Source organism: Homo sapiens, chromosome 1 (genome assembly GCF_000001405.40).
Source record: "Homo sapiens chromosome 1, GRCh38.p14 Primary Assembly".
In the NCBI taxonomy this organism is placed as follows: Eukaryota; Metazoa; Chordata; class Mammalia; order Primates; family Hominidae; genus Homo; species Homo sapiens.
This window is the reverse complement of record NC_000001.11, coordinates 53,665,976-53,684,506: the sequence shown is the minus strand read 5'-3', so window position 1 is coordinate 53,684,506 and position 18,531 is coordinate 53,665,976. Positions and strand designations below refer to the sequence as shown.

Below are 18,531 nucleotides of genomic sequence, written 5' to 3'. Positions count from 1 at the left end.
TGTTGCTTCACCTCACAGTGTGAAGTGAGGCTCACCTGCAGTGGTCCCCATGAACCATCTTAAGGGCCCCAGGCTGGTCCTGACCACAAAAAGCCCAGGAGTCAGAGGGAGCAGGGAGACCCCTAGAGGCTTCTAGGCTTTCCCACGCTTTCCCAGGGTTAGGAAAATCGGCTGAATTTGGTTCACACATTCCATAAATACACAACACCTTCTGGGTGCCAGCCCTGTGTTGAGTTCTGGGGAGGCCCTGAGGTTCTAGCAGCCTGGCTCCCTCCAGAGAGGGTAGGAGGAGCTGGACTGCAGAGATCTTGGGGGTGGGGAGGACATGGACCCAGGAATGCCCTGCCCATCTGAGGGAGACATGGACACCCCCAGGCCTGGCTGGGAACTTTGGAGTTTAGAAGGAAGGAACACAAAAGCCCTTAACCTCCCAGCTGGAATGTGGACACTTCATCCATCCTGCTCTCCATCTCTACTCCAGCCCCATAAATGTCCAATTTGGGGAAAAGATTCCACTCTAAGCCCCAGCAGAACAAGGTGATTAAGAAACTGAGCTCCATAAAATTGTCCGAGCTCTGGCAGGCGGGGTGGGTCAGGAGAGTCCCTGAGTCTCAAGCCTGGCAAGGACTGTACAAAGCCCTCATCCTTCTAGTCCACATCCTCCCAATGCACAAATCCCTTCTGCAGCATCCCCAGCAAGTGACCACCCACTGTGTGCTTGAGGGTCTCTCTTGACAGCTGCTCAGTACCTCCCCAGGGTACCCAATTCAGTGCTGTGACACTCCATTCCTGACAAGCATTTACCGGGCACCTCGGTCATTCTTTCATTCCACATGCCTGCCCGTGCCAGGTCTTCTGCTAGGGCTAGAAACAGAAGAGCTAAGGCTAGTACCTGCTAACGTCCTTGATGCATGCTGTGTGCCAGACACAGTGCTGATTTATGTGGATGATCTCGTGTGATCCACGTGAGAACTCTCTGAGGTAGGTGGTGCCCTCATTCTCCCCATTTCACAGATGAGGCCTGCAGAGATAGAGTAACTCACTCAGGGTCATGCAGATAATCAGAAGCAGGGCTGGAGCTTGAACCCAGGCTTTGACATCATAGTCTCTGCTCATGGTCATTGTGCTCCACAAGTTAGGAGGCCTTTGGTTGGGGGGGCTCAGGCTCTGGGGACTGCCTGCCTGCGGTTATAATCACATTCACGCGGTGTGAGGATGCCCGTTAGCGGGTTACTGAGTGTGAGCGCTTGGATGAGCACCTGGCCATTGGTAGATGTTCAGGAGGTGTTCATGGTGTATATCCACAGTGCAGGTTGGGGAGCCAGGAATGTGTCTGCCAGAAGTGGGACCCCAGACTCCATATGCCAGGACTGAACTCGCCTTCTTTCCTTTCCTTCTAAAGCACGGTGCCACCTTCTGCCTCAGTGCCTTTGCACAGACCATTCCCTTGACCTGGAATCCTCTCCCTTCCTTTGCTGCAGCCTTTGCTCACTATTTCCTCATTCTTCATGTCTCAGTTCATGCTGCTTCTACAGGGAAGACTTCCTGATTCCTCTCCTATGTATACCCCCTTCGTGCCTCTAACAGAGTTGATCGTGTATTATTTGTATGGTTCCTTGATTGCTCTCTGACCCCTCACTAGGTGCTGAGCTCAAGGCAGGGACATCTGTTTAGCTCATCATACAGTTAGGGGCCACAGTCCCTCTGTAGGTAAAATGGCAGGGTTGTCTCAGATAATCTTCGAGTTTCCTTCCTATTCTGGTCTGATTGAATGAGCTACTGCTGCACACTTGTTATGAAAGGCAGCTCCTCCTAGATTAACCAATGGTGAAAGGGCCTCTCCTAAGCCTTTGTCTCCTTGCCTGCCCCTTGGCTCTGCGTTATTGCCCCTGAAGAATCAGTTCAGACAGGAACGTGGGTGTATTCTAATAAGCGAAGTGCTGCCAACTTGCAACGCCAGCACTTAGGGTCTCTGCCAGGGCCCTTGCCATCTGCCTGTGCCTCAGCATCCCTTATGGGGACACATATTGAGAGGTAACCTGCAGAGGAAGGCCCTCTTCTGATTATGTTCAGCTTACTTCAGTCATCTACAGAATGAGAGGGCCATTCCCCCACCAGAATGTGAGCTCCTCGCGGGGATGCAGGGATGCAGGGACTGTGCCTGATGCACCTTTCATCCCCCCACTCCTTCATGCCTAACACACAACCTGCCACCAGGTGTCAGCTGTGTCAGCGGCTGCTTGCTGGATGGCTGAAGGAGTGAAGAATGCATGGCTGCAAGCGGGTCTGGAGTTGGAGTCGGAGTCCGGTGGTGAGCGGCTGTGTAGAGGCAGAGGGGTGCCTCACCTTTACAACAGGAAGCATCTGTGCAGGGCTGGTGCGGACTCTGCCTGGAACGGCCCCCGCTGGCCAGATGCCAAGAGTTTATTGCATGCAGCACAGCAATTTCAAATTTCCTTTATTTTCTAAGAGCCAACGAATTAGTTGAAAGATTAAGAACACTTGCAAAGTAGCCTACAAAGTGGTTTAAGTTAGTGTAGTATAAACTCAGCACAGAGTGTAGCAGGAAGGGAGGGGAAGCAGTCAAAGAAGGCCCCCGAGAGCAGGAACGTATTGCTGGCTGGGTGCAGATGGCTCTACAGAAGAAGAGGATGGGGGAGGAGAGAGGGGGTTCAGTCCCAGTTGCTCCACCCACCCACAGCAACCTCGAATGCACTCAGCTCTGAGCCATCTGCTCCCTAAGGGTAGGTCCTCCTGTGTCCCACGCACCTAGAGCAAAGTGGGGGCTTCACAAGTCTTTGTGGGGTGGTTACCACTGGTGGGCTCAAGCCCTTTTCCTACCTCTCCTTAGTAGTCCTTGAAAAGAAATAGCCATCCTGGAGCTGTGGAAGCTGCAGGAAGTCCAGTCCCCTGCTTTGTCAGCAGAGAGAATATGAATGCTCTCTTTCTTGGCTGCCTGTGACTGTCCAGCCTGGTGGCATCCACTTCTCCCATTTTACTCACAGTTTTACAGGAATTCTCCCTTGTCTCTGACTTGGGTCCAGGCCCCTTTCTGGCTCCAGCCAGTATATCCCTCCCTACTTGGCATTGTCCTGGGAGCAGGGCGGCCAGTGAGGGGCGGTGGCAGAGATGCAGGCAGCAGATGATGAGGCCCTGAAACTCTGCCTTGTTGGACAACTGTGGCTGGCCCCATCTCAGCCCACCTCAGGCTGCAGCCCTGGTTCTGATGAGCAGCCCTGGAGAAGAGCATGCCATCTACTCATAACCCAGCCTAGGTACTGACAGCTGGGCATGCGTCTTCACGCAGCCACGAACTCAGAAAAGAAGCTGCCAGTGTGGATCACGGAGCAGTGGAGGAGTGCTGGAGTTTTCCTCTTTAACTTAATTTCAGAGGCTTGTGTGGACCCAAGGCCGAGAAGAGGGGCCTGCATCCTCTCTCTGACCCTGGCAGATAGTATCAGCGCAGTCAGGCTGAAGGCCCTGGAAACATTGACCCAGCTGTGTCCAGGGTTGAGATCATCTGGCCAGCGTCTGCTCAGGGTAGATGTGTTGGGCAGTGGCCACATGTGTGCCGTCTTGTGGAGAAGTTCACCTTGGGCACAGTGAAGGGTAAAGCTCTTGTCCACAGTCAATTCTGCATCTTCAGATACGTCTCACCCTGCTCATTTAGACAGCTGTGGGATTAGATCTGATATTTTATTCCTGCTGCTTAGTAGGGAGAATCAGTCTTAGAATAAACTCAGATGACCTGAATGGCTTTGGTTTTGGAGTGTCTTTCATTCATTCATTCATTCAGCAGATAGTAGGAGCATCACACCTATTCCCCCAAATAGGATTTGTTTTCTGGCCACGTGAGTTTTAAAACCTTCTCTGATATTAACAGGATGACTATCACATCTTCTGAGGATCACATTTCCATGTGGTCTACAGTTCACAGAACACTTTCCCTTCTGTTATTTAATGTTGTCAAGGTGAGGGGCTTTATTATTCATCTTTTGCAAGAGGAGGAAGAGGCTCAGAGAGGTTAAGTATCTTGCCCATGGTGACACAGCTCTGTCAGGAGCAGAGGTCTGTGGCTGTCCCCTTCCACCCCAGTACTGGTGCCACTGAGTGGTGGGCACCACACTCGTGGCATAGATCATAGTCTCTACTTCCTGCCAAAAAGCAGGGGTTTGTGGACAGGGAAGTACATTTTCTTAATCGTTTTGGGCCTCCGTGTTCCTATCTATGAGGCTTATGTGATGGAAGTCTCCCTCCTTGCCTTTCCTTATGAAGACGTTAAGGACAAATGCCGTATTTGATCTGAATTTTTTTTTTTTAAGCTGTTAGTGGCTGAGACAATCTAGGTCCTTTAGAATCTCCTGTGAGTGGAGACCTGCCTCCCTCCCTGCCTTCTCCCTCCTTCATTCAGCAGACATTTGGGCTGGGGACTGGGGATCTGGAGAATTCGACCTGGCACCTGACCTTGAGGAGTTCAAAGACATGTGGCCTGGATGGGGTGGTAAGGAAACAGGGGTCTCCATTACTGCTTCCATATTTGGGGGCACCCTGGGTGCCACAGGAACATGGGGTGGCCTTTCCAAGGTCAGGCTGCCTCAGGTGTGGGTAGGAGCTGTTGGTTTTCAGCTCTAAGTATCCTCTTTACAAGAAAGGACCAACGAGCTGGAGAGAGAAGTCAAAAAGTTGGGCCAGCATTGTCCACCGTGTGTCAGCATGCTACAGGGGCTTTCCAGCCCTCCCCAGGCCCTCCTCCCGGCAGCGCCAGAAGGCAGGAGTGATTGCTGTCCCAAGGAAGCATGCTCAGAGCAGCCAAGGGGCCCGTCCAGGAGGCATGGCTGACTTTGAGCTCTCATCTCTGTGGTTCTGTGGCTCAGACTTCTCTCTGGGACACAGTGGCTGTCAGTAGCCCTCCCTGGGCTCTGTGTAAATGGGGCAAGTGGCTTTCTGGGGCCCGAACAGGAGGGGCCAGGCAGCCTGTGGTTTGGGCAGGGGTCTGAGTCTCTGAGTCTTCACTGCCTCACTCTGGGCTGGCCCTTTTTCCTGGGTTCCTCCTGGAGCAGCAGATGCTTCAGGTCAGACGTTCAGCCTCACATCTGGTCTCCCTCCTACTTTCATCTGAAACCCAACTCGGATTGTCTCAGTAAACAAACAGTAAATTCAACAATACAATCTTCTTGAAATGCCTTGTAGTTATTTTAAGGCTGTTTTGGGGTTTATTTTAATTGCAGGCCCAGCTCCCACAGTCACGCAGCTGCTGCTGGGGGCATTTGTGGCTGCCACCTCCCTCTCTCCTGCCCGTTCCCCCTCGTAGTGGGCCCCTTCCCCCTCCCATCAGAGGTCCAGGGTGGCCTGGAGGTAGTGGAGGGAGATGAAGTGGGATGTAAGGTTGCTCCCCCGTGTTTCCCGCTTCATCTAAGAACGCCGGCAGCTGCAGTGGCCACGAGCCCAACTTCAGACCTGGGCCTGGTGGGAAGAGGACATGAGAGGTGGGGGGTGACCTCCCAGGCTGTGGAGGGTCATAGGGAAGGAGCAGCCAGGGGCTGGTTTTAGGTTTGCTCCCTGGGAACCCAGACCACAGGCACACCACACTTGACAGCAGAAGTGGGCTGGAAAGTTGGGTCCATAGAAGGCAGATTCTCTGGCTGGGAAGGGACCCTGGAGTTCAGCTTGTGCGGTGCTTTCCATTTCCAGTTAAGGAGACTGAGGTCAGAGACCTTTCCCCCTTCCCCAGGCTGAGGCCTCACTCTTGCTCTGCTCCCGGCTGTTCTTGTCTGTGTTCTGGCTGATAGTACCAGTTGGCAACGCCCCAGTGATGCATTCATTTAACTCAGGGCTCGAACTCAGCAGCCTTTTAGTGCCAAGAGAACTGGGCAGTCATGGTGACTGTTGGTACTTGGACAGGCTGTAGGTGATGTTTCTGTGCCCTTAGTACATCTCTGCCATCACCTCCCCATCCATGGCTGGGGGTGCAGGTACCAGCCTTTTCTCATTAATGTGAATTAGAAAATATTGTTGGTGCTAGGAGTCCAGAGACCTGGCTTTTGTTTTTTTTTAATGATGCCAGGCAAGTGATCTAACCTCTCTGAGCCTCAGTTTCTTCATCTGTGTGGAGGTTGAACAGCTGCAGCCCATTCTGAGGCAGTGACCCCGCTCCCCCCTGCCCCCCACCCCCCCCCCCTCACCCTCCTGCACTCCCAGGCCACCTGAGAACTGATGGCTCAAATCCGCAGAGAGGTTCTTCGTGCAAGGGGGCCCTCTGGGCATCTGCGGCGAGCTGCAGCTCAGCGTGGCTCTACAGCAAGGGTGGCAGGCACCTCAGGGGACATCTGTTGGGGACATCATCAGGTCTGATGGGGGTGCCCACTGCCTCAGGAGCATGGGGAAGAAAGACCAGGATCAACAGACCTCGGGCCATCCACAGCCAGTATGTTTCCCAAGGAGCCGGTGGTGCCAGGGAACTGTGGAGGAATCCCACGTTTGGGGGCTGTTTTCTAAGTGCCAGCCATGGTGGTGGGGACCTCAGGTGTATCTTATTCTCGCCACAGCTCTGGCAGGAGACATCAGTGTTTCCATTTGACACTTGAGGAGACTGAGGCTCAGAGGGGAAAGTACGTTTTGGAGGCCTCGCAGCAGTGAGATGGGAGGCAAACACCAGAGACTGTGCTCCTCCCTTAAGCGAGAAGAAGGCTTGGAGGAACGCCTACAGATGGGCAGTTCTTGAGGTGATGACAGAGAAGCAGGGAGAGGTGAGGAGGCACGGCAGATCCCAGAGATGGCGTGACAGCAAGCGTGAAGTGAAGGTGCTCCTCGCGGGTGCCCGCGGCTGGGTCCAATCGGACTGGGGCCCAGGCCCTGGGAGACGTCTGGTCTGGGCCTGCAGAGGCCCCTCAATTTATTTGTACATCGCCAGATGTAAACTAATTTGTTTAGCAAGAAAAAACACATTTTTATTGCCTTCCAAACTGGGTTGTTTTTCCTCTGGCTGTCTGTCTGGCGTTCAATGGCCAGGCCGTGGAGCAGAGCTTTTGGGAACATGCTTAGGTGTTGGTGAGGCGAGTCTGTCATTTGCGGGGTGTTTCTCCCCATTGGGTCCCAGAACCTGGCAGACTCGAATTCCTGCCCCCGCGCCATCCCCACTGCCTGTACCGCCTTGGCCAGCCACTCGGCAGCTTTGTGCCTACATCTTCTCACCTGGAAGGTGGGCATCCCTGCTGGTCCTTCATGGAAGGAGCCTTTCTGGTTCCACCAATTTTGTTCGTTGGTGAAAAGTGGATGTAGCAACCGTAACTCCCATTATAACTAATCTACACACTCACTCTGTTGATGGAAACACTAGCTCCTCGGGAAGCTCATTATACCCCTAATGTGCGTCTGTCATCAGAGCTGTAGGCCGGCGTCATCCTCAAGGGTAGCGGGACAGGGGAAGGAGAGCTTGGGCTTGTGCGGTACCTGCTGTTTGCGTTGCTCAGCTAGGGGCTCCGTGTATGTCACGTCATGCAGTCCCAGAGACCTGTGTTACATTCTGGTTTTGTAGATCAGCCTTAGCAAGGCCAGAGGGCCCGCAGGACCGGTAAGTGGGATTTGAAGGCAAGTGCGTCCAAAGCCTTCTCATTCTAGTATGAGGCAAGAATGAAAGAGAAATTATAATAAATTCAAGGGGGTATTAGAACTCCTAGCCCTGAAATGAGGCTGATGGGGAGGGATACAGCCTGGCTTGGCCCTGGAGAGCATTAGAGGGCACTCTTGGAGGTCAGGGTGGAGGGTGCTTCTGGCCTCAGGACGCACACGTGAAAAGCTGGAAGGCTCAGCCCGAGGGCTGGGGAAGGACCTGTGCCTTGCCTGTTTCAGCCTGATTGTCCTTAAGGAACATGTCTGTGGCAGGGCTGGGGCTGGGGGTGCGTGCGGGGTGCTGGTGATTTCTAAATATCTACATCGGCCATGCCTGTAGACTGTGCTGGATTCTGGGGACTAGCCCTCAGGGAGTACCCCATACAGTGAGGAGGTGGAAAGATCCTCAGGAAGACCCGGGCAGGGCCTATGGGGGTGTGTTGGATCTCCTAGGCTTGGAGGTTCCTCCCTGGGTTGCTGTGCCAGGGTGTGGGGGAGGCGGGTAGCCCAGCCCTTAGCCCAGACTGAGGAGGAGACTGAGTTGGGGAAGGGTGGATGCTTCTCAGTCCAGGCCTGGGCCGATTGCGCTCAGAGCTTTGAGGGGAACCACGATTCCTGCCTGGTCTTCCCTGATGAGTCTTTCCTTGTCCCCACCCCTTAAGTGGAGCCACTGAGGCTGACACCCTTGGGGCCTGTGGGGTGGGGTATCCCCAATTGTTGCATCCCACAGATTTGACCAAAACCTCAAACCCCAAACCAGAGCAAACGGTGTTAATTTGCTGAATCCCAAAGTGAATCCAAGGATTAATTTTTTTTTCCCTGAATTGTGAACCAAGTCTACGATTTCTTCTTCAAAATAAAAGAGGGTTCTGTTCAAGACATTTCACATCTTAACTGTGCCTTTTTTCCCCCTCCTGCTTTTGCCTGGGGATTTTTGGACAAGGTCCTGATGGCTGCTGGCTCCAGGCTTCTCTCTCTGGGCCAGGTAGGGAGAGGAGGTGGGATGGGGTGGGGTAGGAGCCGCTGTTCTGTGGGGTGGGGGTTGGGGGAGGTTTTGGTGAAGAAGTGGCAGGACAATGAGCGCTCCAATTGGAAGGAGCCCAGGGCCAGGAGCCAGAAGACCTGTGTTCGAGTCCGGACTTTGCTGCTCTGTGCCTCTGTGTGAGAGCTGCATCTCTATAAGCCTCTGCCAAAATGAGGAAAACCGTCCTCTTGCCTTCAGAGCCATGAGGAGAAGTCCCCTGGCAGTGTCTATCTGTGCTTGAGGCCAGCTGTGAGAGGTGGTCAGTGACACCTGTGTGTTTGCACAGCTCCTTGCTTCATTTTCTTACATTTCCCCAGACAGGTGTGGGAGAGAGATGATATTTTTCTTGCCTTGGGAGATCTGGGCTCACTCAGAGTGGGGCCATGACTTGCCCAAAGTTGGGCCCTAATTTGGGTCTGAGCCAGGCACCACCCAAGCTTCTGATTCAGGGAAGCAGCAAGGGCACGAGCAGAGCACAGGCTTCACCATCAGACCCTGCTTGAGCTGTGTGACCTCAGGCCATATACCCTCTCTGAGCCACATCTCTAAAGATGGAATAATAATCCCAGGTGAGTGATTTTCTTGTCCTTGCTAGGATTAAAGCAAGGACTCAGAGCCTGCACACAGAAGACCCTTGGAGAGTAAGTGAATGAATATTAATTTAACAGGGTTTGGGAAAGAGGCTATTTTGGGGAATTTCAGGATGCTGGAGTTATCAGGACCCTCACCCGTAACCCCAGTCAAGCAAAGCTGGTGGCTGCAGACAACCAGCTGTCTCCAGGTGAGATGCTGTGACTCCTTCAGCCCATGAGTCTCCTGGCTGGAAGTGAGTGAGGAGAGCTGAATTCACCGAGTGTGTGCAGGCAGACTGTCCCTGCCGCTCCTGGGCTATGGCGAGTGAGTGACAGCTCCTGCAGGGCACTTCTATTTGAAATCTGCTTGTAATCTCTCTTAGCAGCCTGCATGCCAGGCTTGGCTCATCCCGCACTGCCTGAATGACCTCAGGCCAGTCTTGCCTCTCTCAGCCTCAGTTTCCTTTTCTGTAAAAGAGAAATTTCCTGCCAGCTTTGGTGGGGTGGTGAGCCTAGCATCCCTTATGTGAATGACTTCAGCTCAATCCCAGGGGCCTCTGGATCAGCCTTGGACCACAGCCACATCATCAAGTACTTCATTACATGTTCCTCAGGTTAACATGCCTTTACCCTAAGCCTAAGCTCTGGACATCAGAACTGGGCTGTGTCTGCTCTTCTCTGCCTCTCCTAGTGTCTCGCACCATGCTGAACATCCTGGCTAGGTGTTCAGCAACAACAGCAACAAGAGCTCACATGCCTGCAACTCCTCTGAGCACATTTACATGTATTCCCGTCCCCATTTTACACATGTGGAAACCAGGGCACAGAGAACTTAAGTAATTTAGACCTGTGATTTTAAAAACAGTGTTTCTTACACTTTCCTGTACCTAAAAATCACCTGACAGGCTTGTTAATATCCAGATTCCTGAGCCCTGTCCACAGAGATTCTGTTTCAATAGGTTGGGGTGAGAATTTGGATTTCTAGCAGGTTTCTTGGCGATGCTGATGCCACTGGACTGTGGACCACACGTTGGGTAGCACTGATCAAAGCCACTCTCACACAGGTATTTGCAATGTTTTCACCCCCATCTTAATGGATTTTTTTTTCTTTTCTTTTTTTTTTTTTTTTTTGAGACAGAGTCTCGCTCTGTCACCCAGGCTGGAGTGCAGTGGCATGATCTTGGCTCACTGCAACCTCTGCCTCCCAGGTTCAAGCGATTCTTGTGCCTCAGCCTCCCAAGTAGCTGGGATTACAGGCGCGTGCCCCCATGCCCAGCTAATTTTTGTATTTTTCATAGAGACGGGGTTTCACCATGTTGGTCAGGCTGGTCTTGAACTCCTGACCTCAAGTCATCCGACCACCTCGGCCTCCCAAAGTGCTGGGATTACAGGCGTGAGCCACCGCTCCCGGCCTCAGTGGATTCTTAACCATAACCCTGATGAGGAGTCAGACCACACAGGCTTCCATGCATTCTTGCCTTCATGCGGACTTCACCACCTACCGTGCACCAGGCATTGTGCTTAGCATTAGGGAATGTATAATGGAGAGTGGCTTAATTCTTGTTCTAGAGAAAAATAGGCCCAGAGAATTGAACTTCGTTCTTTTGTTTTTCTATCCATCTGTTCATCCAACAAATGCTTACCAGTGCTGTTCTGTCTCAGGCCCTGAGCTGGGTGACTGAGAAGAACAGATGTAACCCTGGTTTGGAGGAAATCCAGTGTAGTGGGAGATGCATGAGAAGCTCGGGGAGTAGTAGGTGTACATAGGTAGGGGCCACTGGGGAAGTAGGTGTCAAAGGACTCTTTCCGAAGGAGGTGACTTGCCCAGGACCTCACAGCTGCTGAGCGTAGTCAGGGCTTGAAACCACGGTTCCCCTACACTGTGCTGCCTTTCTGTAAAGCCCTTTTGGTTCATTCCCTCAGCACAGTGTAACTGGAGGCATGGGTATATTTTGTTTTTCCTGTGTATCTGGGGCTGAGTTTCCCTGGCCAAGTCGCCCCAGTGGTAATCTAGGCCCTTTCAGAGTCATTTTATCACTGCTATCTCTAAATCACTGCGGCGTTCCACTAGCAACAACAACAAAAATTCTGTGGGCATGGTGTGGACAAGAGGTTAAAGACATAACACTTATGAGCCTAAACTGAGTGTGGGCTCGGGAAATGAAGGGGGGCTTGTGGGGACCCAGATTGGAACAAGGCTTCCACCTCCACTGGCGCCACTTAGGCCTTTATAGGCATGAGATTGTGGGGAACACGGAGTGCTTGCCAGCTCAGGGAGTAATGTACCCGACACTGGAGCGACCTGGCTGGGCAGAGACCTGGGGACAGTCTGGCTATGTTGGGCCTAGGGGAGGGCCCACGCTGCCTGAGCCCTGCAGCCAGTCCCAGCAGAGAGTAGGGTAGGGCCACAGCAGCTCCAGGGCGCTCTTGCCACTGTGGGCAGCTACATTTGGGAGATCACGGCCCGCTTTTATACCCAGCCCTGAGCTGGGTGCTGTGGGGCATAGAAAGAGAGAAAACTCGAGGTTTGTGTCGGGAAGGGGAGATAGAGGAGCAGGTGGAAAGTCTTGCAGGGCACATTGTCAAACAAAGCATCAGAGGCTGCAGGCAGACTTCACAGAGACCTGCAAATGCAAGGCCTCAAAAGCCAACTGGGTTTGGGTTGGCAGAGAAGCCCTGTTGTCAATCCAGCTCACTGCTCTGTGCGGTTAGAGACTGCTCCAAGACTCACAGCCGAATAAATAGTCCAATGATAGGGGATGTTCTGAGTACTAGAGAAGCACACAATAAGTCACTCTAGGCCCAGGGGTAGGAGGTGATCAGGGATGGCTTCACAGAGTAGGTGATCTTGGGGCTGGGCCTTGAAGGATGTGTAGGAGTTAACAGATAGGAAGGTAAGAAAGTATTCCCGGAGGAACTCCATACAGCTCTGAGTTGAGTCAGGTGGGTAGAATGGTTCCATTTCGTACAAAGGAAGGCGGGGCTTGTGGAGGTGGACTGACTTGCCCAAGGTGATGGAGGCCAGACCTCTGGATTCCTCATCTAATGTTCTGCCCACTGCCCTGCACTGCTTCCTAACTCTACTCTCAGGCCCCATCAGGAGCCCTGGAAGGCTTAGGATATACCCTGGGCTTCTGGTCCATTTTGGCACCTGGATCGGAAGAATGGCTGGGTGGGATGGGTTCAGGGCTGCTTGGAGGCAGGCCTTGACTCAGTTGGCCTTGGCCCTCCTACCCTGCAGTTGGCCACAACCAGCTTGGCCAGGGCCTGCTGTGTATCCCAGGCTATAGCTCACAGAGGGAAAAGCTGAGAATTTCCTCATCCTACAGTAGGAGGAAGTGGGAATGAAGATTCCAGTCAATTCTTGTTAATAAATATAATATTTTAAAAGTTGAGAAGGAGGGGAAGGAGCTTTGGAGTTGGGTAGATCTGGGTTTGAATCCCTGCTTGGCCTTAACCAGCTTTGTGAACTTAAGCAAACCATTTCACCTTCCTAAGCCTGAATTTCCTCATCTGTAAAAATCTATGAAGATTTAATGAAATAACATATAAAGTGCATTCTAATGTATATAGGTACTTAATAAATAAATGTTCCATTTTCCATACCATTCATGAAATTCATGTGCCTCTCCCTAAAATATTCCTAATGGAGGGCTTCCAGTCTGTCCCTGAATACCTCTAGTGATGGGGAGCTTACTACTTTCAAAGACCGTTCTTATATTTAGTGAAATCTGTGCCCTTATAACTTCTCCCATTGATCCTGGTTCTACTCTGTGAGGCCTCAGGCACTGGGGGCCATGGGCCTCTCGTTTCCAGGAGCCAACACCCCAGCCATCTGCCTTGGGCACTCTTCTCCAAATACAGGTACCCAAGCTCCTTTTAGAATGTGGTGCCAGGAGCCGAGCCTGGTGGACATGGCCTTTCTGGGCCCAGGAGGAGAGTATTTTCACCTGAACATTTTTCTTCTGGTAAATGGAGCTTGAGATCTCATCAATTTGTTGACTCCGTATGTTAAACATCTCCATCCTTCAAATCCTCTATCCTTTAAAAATATCCCCTGCTACTAAGACAGGTTTTCACTTTCCTGTTCTTCTGTAAATTATTTTAAAAATTTCTTCACTGACAGCATTATAGCAGTAACTGAAAATGAGATGCATTGTTACACAAATTTACCCCCACAAAAACATCACCAGTTTCTTCTGCTCACTGCTCCTTTCTGACCTCTGTCCACATGCATGGTTTAAAAATAGTTTGAATCATGGCATGGATGATACTTTCATACTCTACTTTAAAATTTTTCTTCGTGTGCCACATCCTCTCAAAATAGTGGTCATACAGTATTTCTTTACCTGCACACACCCTGATATAATTACACAGTCTTTCCTCTGGTGCTGGACGTTTAGATTGTTGCCTGCTTTTCATTCGCTATGGCAAATAGTAACGTGATAAACATCTTCATTTAACAAAGAACCAGTAAGCTCCTCCCATGGGTCAGGTGAGGTGCTGGGTGCTGCAGAGCAGAGATGAACAAGGCACCTTAGGCAGGGCACAGTCAGGGAGGCTGACTTGGGAACAAATGTTAGACTAGAGTCTGGTTAGTTCTCCACTGGGAGTTTACATAGACACTGGAGCTTTGCTGTGGGAACTCAGGGAGACCCAGCATGAAGCAATTTGAATCCTATCACAGGACTTAACATTTATCCCTTTGGAATTTCATGTGGCTGGTGTGTTAGGGGTTGGATGGAAGGTGTCTTCCTCTTAGAGAACTGCTAAGTTGTGAAAACTATAAATTTGTATTAAGCACCTCCTGTGTACTGGGATCTGGAGCAGGAAGCAATGAATGAGACCCATCCTTGTCTTTGAATCAATAACAGTCTTCTTGGTAAGACAATGTAGACATCTAAGATGACATGCTAAGAAGTTAGAGGGCTTAGAAAAGCGGGGCATCAGATTGGGGTCTGTCGGGAGGAGTCTCACTTTTTGGAGATTTATAGTCCAAAAGGTTTTAAAAATCTCACACAGCCAGAATTGTTCTGTCTCTGTTTGGCCAGGTGCTTCGTGACTCTGGGACGCTGCCTCCTCTTGATGGAGATGTGGGTTCGGGCTGGGGGAGCATTCAGATTCCTGTTGGCTGAGCCATTCTTGGCCAGAGCTAGTTTAATATTGAATCCAGAGAGTGGTCCAGTCCAGAAATAGGATCCTGGCCTGGGTTGTGGCTGCTGAGCCACTCTTGTTTTATGCTTTGGATCATTTGATAAAAGCAGATAAAAAGCCAGACCAGTAATCTCCATGTGTTGTCACGGAGTCTGTCCCACTTTAAGTATTTACTGCTTGTCTGACAAAACAAGCTGGCTGGGCCTTGGCTGGGCTGCAAGCTGCTGTCCTGGTCAGGAAGTCCTCTCTAAAGCAGTTCCCCCACCCTCTGCTGCCTGAATCCTTGGATGCATGATTTCTTCAGTTCAGCCAACAGATGGGCCATTCAGGGCCAGGCTTGTGCTGGGTGCCGGGGACACAGCAAAGGGTTGGACCTGTCCTCTGCTTTCAGGGAGTCCCAGTCTATGTGGGATAGGCACATAGCAGGCAGTTAGCACGTGATGGGAGGGGCTGGGATCAAAGGCAGCACTGGGGCTATGGAGCCCAGACATCCTGCAGCCTATAAGGTCCACAGGGGCTGGGATGTGTCTGGCTTGTTCTCCGAAGGACCTCCAGTCCCTAGCCTGGCATAGAGTGGATATTCAGTGGGTGTTTGTGATGAATGACTAGGAAGTGTCTGACCCAGCTTTGGTACATGCAGGAGATCTGGTCTTCACTAGCCTTACCTGGTTGACAGATCTCCCCTTCTCTCTGCCCCCTCTTACCCCTCCCCTTCCCTTCTCCCTTTCTTTCATTTCTCCCTCGCTGACCACACGCTGGGATCCAGGCCCTGTGTTGGTAGTGATATACATAGGGGGCTCATGGGCCCACAGGGTGGGCAACATGGAGCTCTGCTCACACTCCACCCCCTTCCTGTGGGTGCCCCACTGTAGCCCCCATGGCACTTGAGTGCACATCTCCGTGTCCAGGTCTCTCACCTGGAAACTCCTCTAGGTGGGGGGAGGATGAGCCCAGGGCCAGGCACAGAGGACATGTTCAGGGACTGTTGGGGACCACATGAGTGGAGGCCCAGATAGAGGTCTGCAGGAGCGCTGAGCTAGGAGGGCCCAGCTTACCTGAAGATTGTCTGGGAGAATGCCCAGGCCTCATCTGTGCCTCAGTTTCCTCATCTATAATGTTTGGTGACTCATGTGGGGGTTAGGAGCGCCAAAGGGGACAATGGGTATGAAAGCACCTTGTAAAATAAAATGTAGTGTTCCTCTTAAAAGTGAGGGGTACAGAAGGAACCCAGACCTGATCCTATCTTTCAGCCCCCAACCCTCACCATACAGAGTCATGCATTGCCCAGTGTTGTGGATACGTTCTGAGACGTGTCGTAGGTGATTTTGTTGTTGTCTGAATATCACAGAGTGTACTTACGCACGCCTAGATGGGATAGCCTGCTGCTCCTTGGCTACAAACCTATACAGCATGGTACTGTACTCAATACTGTAAGCAGCTGTAACACAATGGTAAGTATTTGTGTATCTAAAACATATCTAAACATAGGGCTGGGCATGGTGGCTCACACCTGTAATCCCAGCACTTTGGGAGGCTGAGGCAGGCAGATTATCTGAGGTCAGGAGTTTGAGACCAGCCTGACCAATATGTGAAACCCTGTCTCTACTAAATATACAAAAATTAGCCGGGCATGGTGGCGTGCACCTATAGTCTCAGCCACATGGGAGGGTGAGACAGGAGAATTGCTTGAACCCAGGGGGCAGCAGTTGCAGTGAGCTGAGATCATGCCACTGCACTGCAGCCTGGGTGACAGAGCGAGACTCTGTCTCAAAAAAAGAAAATTATCTAAACATAGGAAAGGTAGAGTAAAAATACAGGATTGTAATCTCATGGGACCACTGATGTTATATATGTTCTGTCATCAACTGAAATGTTACTATGTGGAGCACGAGTGTATGTGTGTATGTGTATGTAGTGACTCTTGATGCTGCTAAGCATCATATAATGCACAGGATGAATCCCACAACAAGGAAGTGTCTACTGCTGTTAAAATATCAGTTCTGAGGTTGAGAAACCCAGGTGTAATTGAAAAGAGTTTAATTGGAGGAGTGGATTATTGTTGCTCTGTGCAATGGAGCAGATGCTGCGGTGGGCAGGCAGGTTTGTTGAGGGCAGAGAGCAGAATGGAACGAGATGAGGCCATAGAGGCCAGAGGGACCAAATAAGGTGGGGCTGTGAGGGCAATGGTAATGAAATGGATTGCTACCCAAGGGCAGTAGAGAACTATTGAAGCCATGTACAATGGTTTGAATGGGGCCTCTCCAAAATTCAGGTGTTGCCAATATAATAGTATTAAGAGATGGGGCCTTTAACAGGTGATTAGGCCATGAGGTCTACGCACTCATTCATGGGATTAAGGCCCTTTTAGAAGAGGCTTAATGCACCTTTCAGCTAGCTTGCCCTTTTTGCTTTCCGCTGCAAGAAGGCCCTCACCAGATGCTGATGCTTTGGTCTTGGACTTCTTAGCCTTCAAAATGCTGTGAAAATAAATTCTGTTCCTTATAAATTACCCAGTGTTAGGTGTTTTATTGTAGCAGTACAAATGAACTGTGAGAGCCTGTGAGTCTGAAAGAGAGATGAGAAGGTGTTTTGAAGCTCGCTCAGTGTCAAGGTTGGGAATGGACCTTGGGGCCAGACCAGGACCAAGGAAGGGCCGGGCTAGAGTTGATGGAGCTTGAGCCATAGGTGAAGCCCCACTCCTCCCTGGCTGAGTGACCTTGGGGATGCACTGCCCTGGTGCAGGCCTCCGTTTCTTCATAGCATGGGAATAATGAGGTCTCCCTCAAGAACTGTGAAACCAGTGTGTGCCACGCAAAAGCAAGGGGCAAGAGAAGTGGTTTGAGTGGGATGTGAGGCCCTCATGGAGCTCATATTGAGAGAAGGAGAGCTTTGGGTTGATACACCTGGAGTGAACTAAGTGCCGTTGTGGGCGTGCAGGTGCCAGTGGCCTTGCAGGGGAAGCTCCGGAGTGGCACACACATGTGCACAGTGCTTTGCAGTTCCCAAAGTGCTTTTAGTCCTTCGAATCTCTTTTATTCTCATTACAGCCCTGCAAGTATACATTATCAACATTTTCACCAAGAAAAACTGAACCTCAAATTAAGACACTAGGAGAAGGAGGTTCCCTTGTAACGAATGAATGAATGAAGTAGTGTAGGGATGAGCAGCACAGTGAATGGGCATGAAAGGAGATGATGTTCTGAAGACAAAGATGAAACAGCTGCAGGGTCATCTTGGAAGAAGGCTGGTCCCTGGTTCTAGGGCAGGTTGAACCTGTGAGGAGGGAGGGGTGAGATCACTAAGAAAGGAGGCATTAGGAGCACAGCAGAGTTTGACTTCATCACCCCTGCCCTGCTGGCTCCCCAGCCTGGCCCACAGACCTGCCGATGGGAAGGGATTTGGTGAGTAGAGGGTGTGAGGTGCATGGGATTATTTCTGCCATCCAGGGGCTTGTCTGGGCTCACTGCCTCTCTCTGCTGTGTTTCTGGTGGTTTTGGGGAAAAGAACTCAGGCTTCAAATTTGCCAGGCCTGGCTTTGGATCCCCAAGAGTGGGCAGAGTGGGGATGGGAGGTGGGGTTGAAGATGAGATTAGAGAGGAGGCAAGCCAGACCTTGAAGGGACCTGAGAGCTGCTTCTGATACCTGGGCTCTTTGTCAGCCACTGGAATTTGGGGACTCTAAATTAGGGTGATTGGTCTGGTCCCTGACTAAGCAAGTGTCTAATCTAGTGGGACCTGGGATTCCATCCTGAAAGCTATCAGTTACAGGCACAGGCATCAGAGTCAGCCAGACCAGCAAATGCTTATTTCACCTCCTACTAGCTGAGCCCAGTTTTCCTTATCTGCAGGTTAGGGAAATAACCAACCTGCATCTGATTGAGAAAAGATAGCTGCTGTCCAGGTCGTGTTTGTGAAGCACTAGCCCTGGCACATAGCAGGTGCTCAGTTAACAGGTGACTGTATGTTCAGCAGTGAGGGATGGCAGAGTATAGTGTTGAGACCAGAGGTCCTTGAGCCAGCTAGTGCAGGTTCAAAGCCTGGCTTCACCACTTCCTGGCTGTGTAACCTCGTGCATTCTGGTTAGCCCTTGATGCTTCCTACCTCCCACTTTTTAAATTTGTGACTATGAGCAAAGCAGTACTGACCTCATAGGATTGTCATGAGGATTAAATGA

At 51.2% G+C, this 18,531-nt stretch overlaps 1 protein-coding gene across 11 annotated transcripts in view, besides 1 other annotated feature; it reads left to right on the top strand.

The window, feature by feature from the left end:
• Nucleotides 1-18,531, top strand: part of GLIS1 (GLIS family zinc finger 1) — a 232,926-nt gene that overhangs the window by 54,658 nt on the left and 159,737 nt on the right. The window lies entirely within an intron of this gene.
• Nucleotides 6,097-6,391: a silencer, noted in NCBI's record as "tiled region #11088; K562 Repressive non-DNase unmatched - State 21:Repr". NCBI's record gives its function as "represses a minimal TATA promoter and a strong SV40 promoter by Sharpr-MPRA in K562 cells {active_cell/tissue: K562}" and the evidence as "EXISTENCE:reporter gene assay evidence [ECO:0000049][PMID:27701403]".